General features: G+C 38.2%; 1 protein-coding gene across 23 annotated transcripts in view, besides 1 other annotated feature; it reads right to left on the bottom strand.

Annotated features, from left to right (window-relative positions):
* The window catches only part of RAI14 (retinoic acid induced 14), a 176,285-nt gene that overhangs the window by 11,946 nt on the left and 148,443 nt on the right, over positions 1-15,896 (bottom strand). For 16 of the 23 annotated variants that reach the window (NM_015577.3, XM_047417088.1, NM_001145520.1 and 13 more), the window contains 8 exons: positions 12,810-12,867; positions 12,013-12,083; positions 9,549-9,655; positions 8,722-8,900; positions 8,459-8,487; positions 7,007-7,093; positions 5,998-6,084; positions 1,816-1,870 (listed from right to left, as the gene is read on the bottom strand). In NM_015577.3, the coding sequence (NP_056392.2) occupies positions 1,816-1,870; positions 5,998-6,084; positions 7,007-7,093; positions 8,459-8,487; positions 8,722-8,900; positions 9,549-9,655; positions 12,013-12,083; positions 12,810-12,867 (673 nt within the window). Of the gene's footprint in view, positions 1-1,815; positions 1,871-5,997; positions 6,085-7,006; positions 7,094-8,458; positions 8,488-8,721; positions 8,901-9,548; positions 9,656-12,012; positions 12,084-12,809; positions 12,868-14,184; positions 14,204-15,896 lie in introns of those variants that run through there. The other 7 variants (NM_001145522.2, XM_047417092.1, XM_017009335.2 and 4 more) reach the window with 2 other exon arrangements.
* Positions 2,817-3,017: a silencer, noted in NCBI's record as "peak5222 fragment used in MPRA reporter construct". NCBI's record gives its function as "represses an SCP1 promoter by STARR-seq MPRAs in K562 erythroleukemia cells {active_cell/tissue: K562}" and the evidence as "EXISTENCE:reporter gene assay evidence [ECO:0000049][PMID:32103011]".

Genomic DNA, 15,896 nt, shown 5'->3' with positions numbered 1-15,896 from the left:
TAGTGAAGTAACTGTGTGAATTTCTGGTCCAAACTTAATATTATTATTACTTTTTGAGATGGAGTCTTGCTCTGTCACCCAAGCTGGAGTGCAGTGGCACGATCTCGGCTCACTGCAACCTCTGCCTCCCAGATTCAAGCAATTCTCCTGCGTCAGCTTCCCAAGTAGCTGGGACTACAGGCATGCTCAATAATTAACTATTACATAAAATCTCAATAATTTTATGTAATAGCTAATTTTTGTATTTTTAGTAGAGACGGGGTTTTGCCACATTGGCCAGGCTGGTCTCGAACTCCTGACCTCAGGTGATCTGCCCACCTCGGCCTCCCAAAGTGCTGGGATTACAGGTGTGGGCCACCACACCCAGCTCAAACTCCTTAATTATTATAAGCTAGTAAATACTTTACCCACACTTTGAAAAGCACTGATCTAAATTTTTAATGCTATGCTTTTTATTTTCTCACAGCCATTTAATGCAAAGATGAAAACTTTAATCTTAACTTGGAAGGATGCAAAATGACCTTTCTTTATAGAAATCCTTGCTTCTCATCATAAGTCTGATGCCTAAATCACAGCTGAGTTTCCTTGACATGAAGTCTGGTGAGTGTGGAATGAACTAGGGAACTGGGAGCCTAAATGCAATTCTAAGAAATAAAAATTACTTCTAAGATACAGTGAATGGTTTTTAAAGTACCCAATGTAACATTTGTTTAGTTATATTAACATTGATCTCTGCCAGAAATTAGAAAGTTTAATGTTTCTAGGGCCGGGTGTGGTGGCTCATGCCTATAATCCCAGCACTATGGGGGGCCAAGGTGGGAGGATCGCTTGAGCTCAGGAGTTTGAGACCAGTCTGGGCAATACAGTAAGACCCCATCTCTAAAATAAATCAATAAATACATAAATAAAAAATATTTCTAAGTTCTGCAAATTAAAGGCTCCAAACACCTATGAAATACACAACAGATTAAGACACTGAATGCTGGAGCAAAAGTGGACCTTTGAAATTGTCTCTTCTACATTTTAAATGGATTCTGAAGGTACTATATTACATTCTTAAAGGGTAAATTCTTAGGAGGCACTCTTTTATAAGAGACACAATGAATTAAACCCTATGATCATAAAGACAATATGATTACATATGACTTCATGAACATTCTTGTCTTTGCGTGTGTCTACTTGAAATCCAAAGTAGAAAAGTTAGATGGGGACAGTCATGGAGGTGGCATGGTGGGTTCTCCCTTCATGAAATAATGTGCTGCTCAGCTGCAAAGAACGCGTTTAGCAGACAGCAGAAGCCTATGGACCTCATCTGAACATGATATTTTTAAATGGGTAAGATAAAATATATAGGCTACAGTAACTTAAGAGCTTATTTGGTAACAATAACAAGATCTGGCAGCAGGTCTAATAACTGCCATAATTTTTAGTAGCAATATTGTAAATATTTCAAGATATCTGCAATAACAGTAAGGTGATAGGAATTCTCTTGGTGACAAAATCACTGGTCTGCTAATACCACTGAGGCTTATTGCCTGTACTCATAATTGAACGAACTGCTAACATGTAGTTTGGGACAAATGAAAATAAAGATGTATTTTTCAAAATTCAAATTCAGAGACTCTTTAAAATGCAGGTGAAGAAGGCACCCTGAAGTACAGAGCGCTTCAGCTTGTGCATTACTGGCAGCTCTGTGTGGACATGCTGGCTTGTGACATTTTTACACAGTACCCCAGCTTGGCCTTTGCTCTCTTTAAATGGACATGAAATAGTTTGGTTGAAGGAAAAAAAAAAACAGATGCTTCCTTGTCTTACCTGTAGTACTGTCACTTAGTCTGTCTTTGTTTTCTCGTATAGAACTGATCTCAGCCTATTGAAACACAAAAATGACTTAAAGAACATTTCTAAATGTAACATTACACAAAAGAATCAAGCAGACTTTCCTCCTTGAGCTTACGCAGAGCAGATCTGGTATGATCCTACTAGAAAAGCAGCTAGAAAATCTCGAAGAAAGAAGATATTTTAAGCTATAAATGAGTAAAAGTGACAATTATCTACTAAGTTTAATTTCTAAAACATTAGAAGTTCCAGAGGGCATATTCTCTAAATATTTTTCAGAAGTTTCATTTAGTGAGTACAATGCAAATATATTTAAGATCACAATAATTTTATGTAATTGCTAATTTAGTGAGTTATGTACTAAAAACTGAGACAGCAAATAGTGCTTTCGTAATGAAGTCAAAGAGAAGTTCTATATGTCTGCATTATACATTGATTGAAATATTTTAAAGCAGATTTTTTAGCTTTATCATTTTATAAGTTATCTGCTATTAAAGTTACTATTAACTTTTCTAAGGGAAATGGTAATAAATATCATATGGTCTCAGATTGGCAATAGATTCCCTAAAGATTTTCTCTAATGCTTTGTCCCTGAATATCTGTTAATATACCATAAAAATTCTTGGAACTTCAAAGCCACAATCTCATTTCAAAACATTACAGTGACTTGCTAAAAATTACAATGTGGCATCCGAATGAGCCAGTCAATGATAAGAGAATTTTTCAGCAGAGATACCTTTGTAAAAGCCCAAATGCTAAATAATAAAGTAGCTTATTTTTAGTTAAGTGCTTATCTTTACAAAAAGCAGTCCTTTCACTTTTATAACAAATTTACTTGTTTTTATATTTTCCACTATATAACGTATAATAAACTGCATCCAGCCAAGTTTACAATTTGAAGAGTTTTTGACAGATGTATACCTATGGAACCAACACTATAGTCAAGATAGAGAATCTGTTCATTATGCCTAAAAGCTTCTTCATGCTTCATTACAACCAGTCCTTGCCCGCATCATTCCTAGGCAACCACAACTCTTTTTTTCACATTTCTTAGAATTCCTATAAATGGAATGTCATCCCATATGAATTTTTTGGTGGCTGGCTTCTCTCAGCATGATGACTTTTCAGATTCAACTATGTTGTTACTTGCACTACAGTTCATTCCTCTTTATTGGCAGATAATATTTCATTATATGGGTATATCTCATTATCTTTATTCACTTGTTCATGGACATTTGGTTTGCTTCCAATTTGGGGAGGTTGTGAATGAAGCTGCTACAAACATTTGCATACAAGATTGTGTCTAAACATACAATTTCATTTATTTTGGTAAACACCTATGAGTGGATGGCTGGATCATATATTAGGTTTATATTTAACTTTAATGAAACTTCCAGCTTTCCAAACTGGTAATAGTTATACCATTTTAGATTCCCACCAGCAGGAAATGGAGTTCTAGTTCTGCAACATCCTCAATCCTCACTTGGTAGTATCAGTCTTTTTAAACTTTAGCCATTTTAAATAGATATCACTTTTTCTTTTTTTTTTTTTTTTTGAGATGGAGTGTCTGTCGCCCAGACTGGAGTGCAGTGGCACAATGTTGGTTCACTGCAACCTCTGCCTCCCAGGTTCAAGCGATTCTCCTGCCTCAGCCTTCCCAGTAGCTGGGACTACAGGTGCCCGCCACCACACCTGACTAATTTTTTGTATTTTTAGTAGAGACGGGGTTTCACTGTGTTAGCCAGGACGGTCTCGATCTCCTGACCTCATGATCCACCCGCTTTGGCCTCCCGAAGTGCTGGGATTACAGGCATGAGCTGTGAGCCACCGAGCCTGGCCTAGATATCACTTTTGTCTCCTCCCTAAGCTAACGTAGGAATAAATGTCACTTTTTATCTTGTTTTTTTTTGTTGTTGTTTTTTCAGAAATGACAGTCTTATACTCTACCTCTGAAAAATCATAATTTGTGATATTCTTCGGATTGCACTGCTTCTTTGAGGCACAGTCATATCAGAAGATATTATCGTACTAACTATAAGAGTATAGTTGCCTTGTCTTACATAGAAATTCATCTGAAGAGTTTATTAGTAAAGTCTAAAGTGAGGGAAATGATAGGTTGATAGAATCTGTTTCAGATTAATGTGTATCCAAGTTAAAAAAAAACATCTTTAATAATTCTAAATAAGGGAAAGTAAGTAAATATAAAATATCGAAATTTCATGTTAACAATTATAAATTTTATTTCCCCCTTGAGTACAATTTCTCAGTATATTAAACAGATATTAAATGGAAATATCCTCCCACTTCCTTAAAATGTTTTGCAACCACAAATCTACAGAACCAGGTGGATAAAACCTAATGGATTTTCTAACATTTGTAAAATAAATACATATTACTTTTATAGTCAGGAAAAAAATTAACTATACAATTCTCAGTAAGACAACAGAGAATAACACAAGTTTCTGTCTCTTTGATTGGAATTAATATAAACTTAATTGGGTAAGAAGACTGCTTATCTAGTAAGTTCTTATCTTTGTCTCTTTTTAAAAAAACTTTAGCACTTTGTATTTGGAGCAATTTAAGATTTATAAAAAAGTTGCAAGATAGAAACCTTCACTTATTTCTTCTAATGTTTACAACAGATGTAGCCATTATACATTTGTCAATTGGTAAATTACTACTATCTAAATTACAACTTTATTCAAATTGCGCCAGTTTTTCGAATAATGGCCTTTTTCTGTCCCAGGATCCAATCTAGAATATTTCATTATAAATAGAGAAGTTCCTGAAATATAATTTTTGGCATTTCCTCAATATTCTGCATTCAGGAAAGAATGAGGAGAATAACAGGTAGAAGCTGGTAACTTCCACACCTTATTTTTGAAAAAATTAATTTATTTTTTAGTTGACAAATAAAAGTTGTATGTATTTACCATGTACATCATGATGTCTGCAAATACGTACATAATGTGAAAAGGCCATGGAGCTAATTAATCTCACACACTTATCATTTTTTGTGATGAAAACACTTAAAATCTGCTCCCTGAGTGATTTTCAGAATCCAATGCATTGTTATTAACTATAGTCACCATGTTGTACCATGGATCTCTTGAACTTATTCCTTTTATCTGGATGAAATGTTGTACCGTCTAGCCAACATCTCCCCAATACCTCCCACCACTCCCCCAATTATCATTCTACTCTCTGCTTCTATGGGTTCAACTTTTTTAGATTCCATATAAGTAAACTTTGTCCCTGCTCCCCACCACAAGACACTCGCTCTGTCGCCCATGCTGGAGTGCAGTGGCCCGATCTTGGCTCACTGCAACCTCTGCCTCCTGGGTTCAAGTAATTCTCCTGCCTCAGCCTCCTGAGTAGCTGGGACTACAGGTGCCTGCCACCAGGCCCAACTAATTTTTGTATTTTTTTCTTTTCTTTTTTTTTTTTTGAGACGGAGTCTCGCCCTGTTGCCAAGCTAGAGTGCAGTGGCGCGATCTCGGCTCACTGCAATCTCTGCCTCTTGGGTGTAAGTGATTCTCCTGCCTCAGCCGCCTAAGTAGCTGGGATTAAAGGTGCGCACCATCATGCCCAGCTAATTTTTGTACTTTTAGTAGAGACGGAGTTTCACCATGTTGGCCAGGATGGTCTCGATCTCTTGACCTCGTGATCCACCTGCCTCAGCCTCCCAAAGTGCTGGGATTACAGGCGTGAGCCACCAACCCCGGCCTAGTTTTTGTATTTTTAGTAGAGATAGGGTTTCGCCTTGTTGGCCAAGCTGGTCTTGAACTCCTGACCTCAGGTGATCTGCCCACCTTGGCCTCCCAAAGTGCTGGGATTCCAGGTGTGAGCCACTGCACCCAGCCCTCTTGTCTCTTTTTTTTTTAAATGAAGAAAATCAATTATTGGTTTGTAAATTTAATTTATTCACTCAATGATTTTTTAAAAATTTTAAATTATTATGGATACAAACTAGCTGTACACATTCTTGCTTTATGGGGTCCATGCCAGAAAAAATAATCAAGGGGTACTTCATGGTGAAAAGGTTGTGAACCAATGATTCAGAAGTATATTCTGTTTTTCCCAGTGTTATATAACTTAAAGCAAGTCTATCATGTATCTTAAAATACAGTAACAAAACTGAATACAGAAAGGAAATACCTTGAAGGGTGGTTCAGCAAAAAATACCGATTCCTTTCCCGATAGTGGAGTCGAAGTTATTGATCTTGGGGAAGAGACATCACTCAACTAAAAAAGAAACAAAATGAAAATCATTAATAAAGAATGTATCTTCAAACTCCTCTTCTCCAGTGCCGAAGAATCAACCTGTTTAACCAATGCAATGAAATCTAACAGTAAGTATCCTTGGCATCAATTAATTCACGGGTAGAATATTTTCAGTGCAATTCAGCTACTTCAAATACTTTCTGAAAGTTTACAGAATATAACTGTGCTCCTATATTAGAATCACTTTTTTAAAAATCTATAAAACTTCTATTGCAGGTTAAGAATATTAATAAGTATGCTAACATACATTTAAAAAATACTTATGAGATGAGCTATTCCTCTCTACTATTTAAATATGGATTATTCTCTTTATGGCCTATGAATTTTTAAATAACAAATTTCGATGTGTTTTTACCTGCCATTACATAGATTACTGAGCTTCCTCCTCTATGCAACCGTCACTATAAAGCTCAGAAATGAAAACTACTTTTAATATTAGCCAACCTTAAAAGCAATTAAAAAGGCAAATGTATTGCAGCAATGTTTTAAGAAACGAACTGAAATTCATTTTCAACTAATTGCCTCAATGGCTACTCATTCTCCCAGTCCTTACTAGATCTTTTAACATAAGGAACTAAAAATAAATTGAACTTATCTTAAGGGAAAGTTTCTGTGATAAGATTTTGAGAAATTTCCTTGAGACTTTTCAAAAAGAGGCTATTCGATTCTACTGTTTTTTTAAAAATAGATAAGAATCAACATTATTTCCATACTAATCATCAATCCTTCTTACCACAATTTGTAATTTAAAACTGCTAAGGAAAATTTTAAATATGCACTTAAAGGTCAGTTCTAAAACATTCCTTTTTGGCCTAAACAAAATGACAAATTTATGGCTTTCTTGTGGTGCGTTTATTGATTGTTGGTTTGCTTTTGTTTTTACCTGGGTAGGACTGATAGGAGGTGGTGGAGCTTTGCGTTTTTTTGGAGTTCCACTTCTTTCTGAGCTTATTTTAGAGACTTGGTCATGCTGAAAGTTATCACAGTCCAAAGAATGGAGGTGGGTTAGTTTGGTTAGTAAAGTCTGGGCAAGTAGCTTTATCAAACACATGAGAAAAACCTCAAAAGTTCATACATTTCTTACTTTATCAAAATCTGAAATCTGCTACCAACATAAAAATAAATAATATGCATGCACAAGTATTCTCCTAGCAGCCCATGCTTTAATAGCAAGAAAATAAAAACACATGAGACAAAACCAGATTAGGTTGGTGTGGAGAACTGGGAAAGTAGAGGTTGAGGTCTACTACAACTTAGAATCCAGAATACAATCACAGCCAGCTTTCTGTATTAATGAAAAGCAATGGTATTTCCCACACGTCTGCATTACTTCCATTCCTTTTTTTAAAGACTATAAATATGAGGGAAAGGGATAACTTCATTTTTGAAGGTTACTGGTAAGTAATACAGTTAGCACATAAATTTAGTATTGAGTATTTGCTGTTTATGATTTCTTCAAGAACGTAGATGTGTAAATAAATAAACAACCAAACATATACTGTTCATCAAAAAAACAGATAGTGACAATATATTTTTAGAAAAAACTACACAATAACAGGGCAAACTCAATTTCTACTTTGTGTAACACCACATGACGTTCTAGAAAAACCCTAATTAAAAGAAAAGGCTAAATTCTCTTATTTTCATTAAATAGCTAACATTTTCTGGCTGAAGCTCTGTAGCTCATGTGATATTACAAGTATTTAAAACAGTGTTATTCAGTCACAGAGTTTAAGCCACATCAAACATTTTCACACCAATAGGAAGTATGAGTTAGTACATTTCAGAAAAAGATGAACATATAAGTAGCAAGTTTAAAGTTACATGCTTTTGAAATAAAGCAAATTATTAAGGAAAGCTTTACCACCTTTTTTTTTTGAGACGGAGTTTCACTCTTGTTGCCCAGGATGGAGTGCAATCGTGCAATCTCAGCTCACCGCAACCTCTGCCTCCTGGGTTCAAGTGATTCTCCTGCCTCAGCCTCCCGAGCAGCTGGGATTACAGGCACGCACCACCATGCCCGGCTAATATTGTAATATTAGTAGAGGCGGGGTTTCTCCATGTTGGTCAGGGTGGTCTTGAACTCCCGACCTCAGGTGATCCACCAGCCTCGGCCTCCCAAAGTGCTGGGATTACAGGCGTGAGCCACCGGCCCGGCCTGGCAACCTTTAACACCTTATAACAATGACTTATTTATTCAAAGATATTTCAGTCCCTAAGTATTTTCAATATAGTCTTTATTACTTTACTAGTGGACCAGAGTGGTTAAATCTGAACATTTTTAAATTCCCACAAGCATAAATGAAACATAGAAGCCTCCCCCAAAGATAAATACCTGCTTTGGTTTTGTTGGGGTCTTTAAATCTATAGAGGAAAAAGTGAAAAAAAGAACTATAAGAAGCATAATGATTCATATTCACTTTGGGTGGGGGGATACACACACATACACCATATACAATATTTTTTAACACTCCTTTTTTTTTCAAGAATATGTTTAAAAGAATAATAAAATATATCATATTGCACACATTCCTTTATCCTTTGGGGAAAATGGAGTGGATAAACTTAAAACAACATTGGCTATTTTCTTTTACATACCAGCATCCTGAGAGATTTTTGATAATAGAAGGCTTTGAATTCCTGCATTTTCTGAGAGTTTGGAATAATGTAAGGCATTGTATCCAAGAGAATCTACAAGGTTTAGGTCTGCACCCTTTTTAATTAAGGCTTCCACAGCGTTAGAGCTGCCAATCTCACAGGCCAGCATGAGAGCAGTTCTAAAGGAAAAAAGAGACACAAAATTAGTACTAAGAGAATGTAAAAAGTCTTTCTTGGGAAATCAGTTGTCTTAAAAAAAGAGAAAAGAAGATTAAGTGCAGTTAAACCTTTATTACACTTAATCTTCAGGGAATTCGAAGTGGAATGCAATCAAGATGAAATTAGGTGGTTTTTTTTTTTTTTAAACTTCAGATTAAATCAAAACATTAAACCACATTTTGTCAAACAACACAATCTTCTATACTATTTGGCATAATATGATGGGATTTAATATGACTGGCATGAATCTTATCCTTGTTTTACCTCAAGCATTTTAAATAACATATATATTTCTAAGACCATTTCTCCAAAACAACCAATAGGTTTGTTTTATTTTGCATAGAAAGTCACAGGAAATTGTTTATTCACATTAGCATTTAATAGTCTCCTCACAGACTTAGCCAGCAATGATGTCCACAGATGTCTGGGGAAAATTGCTTTAAAGTCAACATAGATTCTTGATTATCAGAAACAGTAGAACTTTAAAAAGGTAAGAAGTTAAAAATCCCTTATAACAAATGATCCAAAATATAGCTGTGATATTTTGAAATACTCTCAGAATGTGGGTATCACTGAAGTCACATGATTTCTGCCTAATTCTGGAGTACCTTCCACTTTTGTTCCTGGAATTGACATCTGCTCCATGATCCAGGAGAAAGTGACAGATCTCACTGTGACCATTTTGTACAGCAAGAAGCAGCGGTATATTCCCATCCTAGGAGACAAATTCAGATTTAGATTTTACCTCAGGCACAAAATGCCAGAATTGCAAAAGTCAGCCCCTGTTTTTTGCACATTTTTCTCCTGACTTGGACTGCTGACTGCTGATCTAGTATCTGGTCCAACCTGATATTCTGTACCCCTATAGAGTCACGATTGTATGTTGGCACAACTCTTGTTATGGAATTTTACTGAATGCTAGCTTTTACATAGGAGCTCCAGCTTCTTGCGGCTGCTTATGCCCTTGGCTATCACTGTTTGGGTGACTGTGAGAGAGGACAGAACACAAAGTGTGTAAAGGCTCAAGGCAAGTGTACCGGGTATACTGAGGGACGGTGCTGGAGAAAGGAAGGGCGTGTCTCCGCACGACACCAGAAGATCCCACTGCCCTGTAGGCAGCTTATTCCCAGTGCACTAATCATTATATATCCTGCCATTCCACTTTTACCGAAAGTGTACCCTTTAGTAATCTTGCTATGTATCAAAATATAACATAAATTAAGAGCCTATGTCTGTTACTAACACATGACTAGATAAAGAAATGGATAGAAAGAATAATTATGTCATGACAATTGCAACCCCTTTGGGAAAAAGGAAATCTAGGTCTCCAACTCATATACAAACTATGTCAGGTGGATTAAGCATTTAAACATTACAATATAAAACAAATGATGAAAAATACTAGAAGAATATACATAAGTATTTTTTGTAATCTTAGGTCTGACACAAACCATAAAGAGAAGTTGTTATTTTGTTTTTTTTCTGGAATATACCCTATAAATCCATCGACAGTGAGTTTTAAGGTAGAAGCATTCAATAGGCAAAGGGAAAAGATGTTACAATATATCCAACTATTTAAAAATACAAGTGCTACTTAAAGATTGAGTATTGTCATAAAGAATTTCAGATAGATTTCTGGGCACTATCTCTGTGAAGTTATACTACTTTCTGCTTAGGAAGTACTGAACTTCAAGGAATATGAATTTATTTACAGATTCTATCTAGTCACTTCACAGCATCTCCATCAAATATAAGTGTATGCATGTCAGTTCTCATGCTGCAACATGAAATATAACCCCATGACAGAACCATGTGATAGGTATATAAATTTATTCTCAAAGTAGCCTGGTGAAGTTAAAATAGCCTAGTAATGGTCTTCAAAGTTGGGAGATTCTACGTAGAAGTTATCCAAGTGCAGAAAGAAAGTAGTAAAATTTCTATTTAGACTTATTTTTAAAAATCAAGAAATTAAGCTTTATTTGTAATTACATTGATGGTAGAAAACATGTATAGCCGTAGAAATAAATATACCTATATAGGAAATATATGCTGCAAAATGTTTTACTAATGTTTTAGAAGCTAATTAACCTTCTTCCCAGTTTAGAAAAAAAAAAAAAAGTGCAGCTCTCTGCCAGAGCTCATTTAATTTTATATAAACACACTCTTTGAGGCTGAAGAAAATCTGACTGATTTTCAATGTGAAAATAAAATATAAAAACTGTTCTTGGAGTTATTTCTAAACAGAACTAACACCAGAATCATCTGTCTCAGAAAAATCGGATTCATCAAATGAATCTTCAGCCAAGATCTCTTTGAGAACGATATTAACATCACACATAGGAATGCTACGTTTTCTAGGATTTGACATTTTCAGTGGTCGAGAATTACTACATTTTGTAAATGGAAATACCACTACTAAAAACAGAATGCTATAAACAGAATGATGTCTTTTGTTTCCAAAGTCAATACACTAGAGTGATGGGAAAATAATAATAATAAAAATGAGATATTTCGTGGCAAAGTTATCTTGAGGTAAATGCTGTATCCCCAAACGCCACTGGTGAGTATTCTTGGAGCAAATGGGAAAAGGGTTAAGAGTAATACATAAATCCATTTTGCAGAAGAGAATCTAGGTTGAAAAGCAATAGAATTTGCCCAATACTTAGTTGTCTAAAACAGGAGTACCCAACCCAGGGGCTGCAGATCAGTACCAGTCTGTGGCCTGTTAGGATCTGGCTGCACAGCGGGGAGTAAGTGGCAGGCGAGTGAGCAGTACTGCCTATAAGATCAGCAGCAGTACTGGATTCTCATAGGAGCACAAACCCTATTGTGAACTGAGCACGTGAGGGATCTAGGTTGTGCACTCCAATGCCTGATGACCTGAGCTGCAGTAGTTTCATCCTGAAACCATCCCCACCCCCATCCATGGAAAAATTATCTTCCTCAAAATCAGCCCCTGATGCCAAAAAGGTTGGAGACTGCTAGTCTAAAGTCTCAGTGACTCTAGAGGTATCCCATTGAGCTCTAGAAACCAATGTCTACCTCTGCCTCTAGTGACCACCTGGTACTTACCAAATCTTTGAGGTTTATGGGGCTCTTGTGTTCGCAGAGAATCTGCACAGCTTGAAGGCAGCCCTGAGCCGCTGGGGGAAGGAAAATATAAATACCACAGCCAATCACACAGTTATTCACAACCAGGGGTATCAGATACTTCAGGAAGGAAATGTTCATGTTCTACCCACTCTACATATATTCACTCTAGTTGCATTGAAGAGAAATGGTATTAGGAAGGTTAGGAGTGAGGTGTTTAAAATTACTGCTTAATTTCAGAGTTATGCAGGCCTAAAGCCAATGACTGCCAGTTGCCTTTAGGCAAATATTTGGCTCAGGTTTTCACAGGACTTAGCTTTTCCACAACTAGCAATAAAACACATGTGTAAATCTAATCACTCATAGTTCAGTGTCAACGTTTGTCACTTCAAGTTGTGTAATCATACTAAACAAAATATTAGTAAATAAAATTGACTGATGTTCATAATAATCCTCAAATCAAAAAGTCTGTATCACACATTACCTGAAATCTACAAATGCTTAGAATATCTCTTAGTTTAAAAAGAAACCTTAAATTAGTTAAAATATATTAATCGTGATAATTTTCAGTGGTTAGGTGGCAAAGGAATTGATGAATTCTAGGCATATGCCTCGGTAAAACTGTGTATGTTTTACAAACAGAGTAAAATGGGAATGTTTAGAAATGATGACAGAAAAGAGCACCAGGAATAGTATGGAAGGTTAATGGCCTGAATAAGGAAAAAGAAAAGTTGGTGTTTCTAATGGCAGAAGAAGACAAATAGGAGAATGAAAGTTACCTGCATAATGTAAAGCTGTTTTCCCAGAGCTGTCGACACTTTCGGCTGGGCATTTAGACTATAAGACAAAAATAAATACATCCATATAATAAAATACCCTGCCCCAATTCTATTCAGTTCAGACTTTTCCTGCAAGGTATGATGTGACTTATTAGGAAGACTATTAACATAAATAAGCCCCAGCTGCTGTGTTCCAGGGGCCTACAGTCTCCTATGGGGAAGGAGACTCATGTCTTTGGGATGGGCAAACTCTCCCCTCTTTGCTGCTTCACCTATCTGTTCCTCTCCTTCCCTCATCACTCCAGCACCCCACCAGCTAATAGACATACTCTAGGCTCTCTCATCTTAATCCTTTCTTTTCCCCCATCTCCTGCCCTTTCTGTCCCCCTTCACGAAACCAGCTTTCTCTTAAGGATTACCCACATGCAGTCCACGCACCCTCACCTCCATTCACTCCCAAAACCACTGCAGTTGGGTGTCCCCTCTCGAGTCCAAGGAGATGGCCTTGGTCAAGGTCACCAAAAACCTTCATGTTTCCAATGACGATAAACATTTCTGTCCTCCTCTCTCCAACCTCTCAGCTCCTAGAGCCCTGCTTGGCTCATCTTATTCTGCTTTTCCTCTTGCGGCTCCTCCTCTAGCCAAACAGAAAACCTCAGGGCTCCTCAGTGTTCTTCCTCTAAGCTCTTTTCCCTGGTAAGCTCCTCCACACCCACAACCTGAAATATCATCTAGAAGAATGAACGCTAGTGACTCCCAAATGCGGAGGTCCTAACAGTGACAACAATAAGTGCTATGTAAGTATTAGCTCTCACGTGCCAGGCACTGTTCAAAGAACTGCTTTATGTCCCCTAACAACACGAGGTGGATACTATCATTACTTCCACTTTCAGATGAAGAAACGGAGGCACAAAAAAGTTGATAATTTGCTCAAGTCGCAGTAAATGGCAGAGCCAAGATTCAAACTCAGACAGGCTGGGCTAGGGCCTGTATTCTTACTCATACACAAAAGTTGTCATCTTCAAGCGCTAGGCTTGATAACCCACTGCCTACTTCACATCTCTGCTCTGATGTCTTATTAGCATCTCAAAGGCCCAGCCAAAATCTCTGGCTTCCCCTCCCCCGTGCCCCACCTGCTCCTCCCTGACTGCCTTCTCCATCAACAGCATCATCATCAGTCTAGACATTGAGCCAGAAACCAGCGATTCAGCTTTGATTCCTCCTCATCCTCCACCCCCTTCCCCGACCCCTCTTCCTCACCCCACATGTAGTGGACCACCATGCCCTGTCAACTTTTTTCTCCAAAACTCGCCTCCACTCTACCCTCTTCCCTTTCTTGTTCCCGACACCCTTTTCTAGGACAGCGTCTTCTCACCTGAACAGCTAAGGTAGCCTCCTGGCACGTCTCCCCAGTTCTGCATTTTTCCCCTTTTTATCAATTCTCTAAAGAAACAGAATTCTCTTTTAAAACTGTGACTCTCACTGTCTACTTAAAAGCCCCTCACACTTCCATGCTGTACTTAGGATGAACTGCAGTCAAGCCCATCATGACATACAAAAGGCCCTACATCCTGTGCTGCTTTCCTCCTTACTTGCTCTGCCCCAGGCCCACACATTGGCATTCTTCCCTCCCTGGCCAGCACCTTTGTGACCTCAGGTCCTTTGCACACATTGTACCATTTGCTTAGAATGCTTTCCTTGTGGCTCTTTGCATCCTTGGGAGGTCTCAGCTTAAATATCACCTCCTTCACGAGGCCTTCCATGAACCTCCACCTCTGATTCCTCTCTTACAGTAACCCGTTAGCTTCCTTTTTACTGCTGTGCAATCTGTAATGTTTATTTGTGGATTGTTTACCAGACTGGGAGCTCCACTGGGATAGGGGCTGCTGTTTGTCACTGCTTGACACGGTGCACAGTGCCCAAGAAACACAGTATGAGAAAGGGCGGGAGGAATAGCTGAGGGTTCGGGAAGGGAGAGAGCTCATTTGTTTTTTGTTGTTTTTGTTTGTTTGTTTTTGAGATGGAGTCTCGCCCTGTCACCCAGGCTGAAGTGTAGTGGCGAAATCTTGGCTCTCTGCAACCTCCACCTCCCAGGTTCAAGTGATTCTCCTGCCTCAGCCTCTCGAGTAGCTGGGATTACAGGCATGCACCACCACGCCCGGCTAATTTTTGTATTTTTTAGAAGAGATGGGGTTTCACCATGTTGGCCAGGCTGGTCACGAACTCCTGGCCTCAGGTGATCCACCCGCCTCAGCCTCCCAAAGTGCTAGGATTACAGGCGTGAGCCACTGCACCCAGCCTGAGAGAGCTTATTTGAAGAATCTCAAAAGGCTCTATTTGTGCTCATTGCCGTGAGAAGGAAGAACTTTACCTTGGTAGCCACTGGAGAGGGGGAATGGCTCCAGCAGACGGGCAATAAGAGCAAAAGCCTGGAGAGCCCAGGGAGATCCATAAATGCAGAGAGTATAGGAGTGGGGGGCAGCAGGAGGTAATGGGGATCACAGCACAGAGAGCCTGGGCTACTGAGACAAGAGGTGAAGAACTGGCTAGAGTGCAAAGAGGAACAGGACCTGGGAAAACAGCCCAACAGGAGGACACAGCTGAGGTTTTAACCACCATCCAGGAAGAAGAACAATCTGAATGGTTTGGCAGTGAGAGGAGGTAATAACACACTACCACGCTAGTGAAATGTCTGCCCTTTCGTGGTAAGAAGAATGGAGATTAAGTTACGACTTACCATGCTTTGGCCTAATTTTAAAGCAGCACAAGGAACTGTTTAAAGGCTTCAAAGATTCCGAAGAAAAACCAATCCATTTGCATAACCAGATATAAGATTACATTAGAGACTAGAATATCTGGTTCTTGCCCACGAGAACATCCAGCTTGTCAGGTTAATTCTTCCTTAAAATCAGAGTCAGATGCAAAGTCTGGATAGCCAAGCCAGAATGGGAATGGAGATTTAAAACATAAATCAATTACTTAAAAATTGAGGTAGGGCCAAGGATATGGAGGCAGAGAGCTTGAGCAATGATTTTCACTTATCCAGAGTGTCTGGTCCCAGAAGAGGCAGGTAAGAAAAGTTCTATT

Source organism: Homo sapiens, chromosome 5 (genome assembly GCF_000001405.40).
Source record: "Homo sapiens chromosome 5, GRCh38.p14 Primary Assembly".
Taxonomy (NCBI): Eukaryota; Metazoa; Chordata; class Mammalia; order Primates; family Hominidae; genus Homo; species Homo sapiens.
This window is presented reverse-complemented; position numbering and strand designations above follow the sequence as displayed.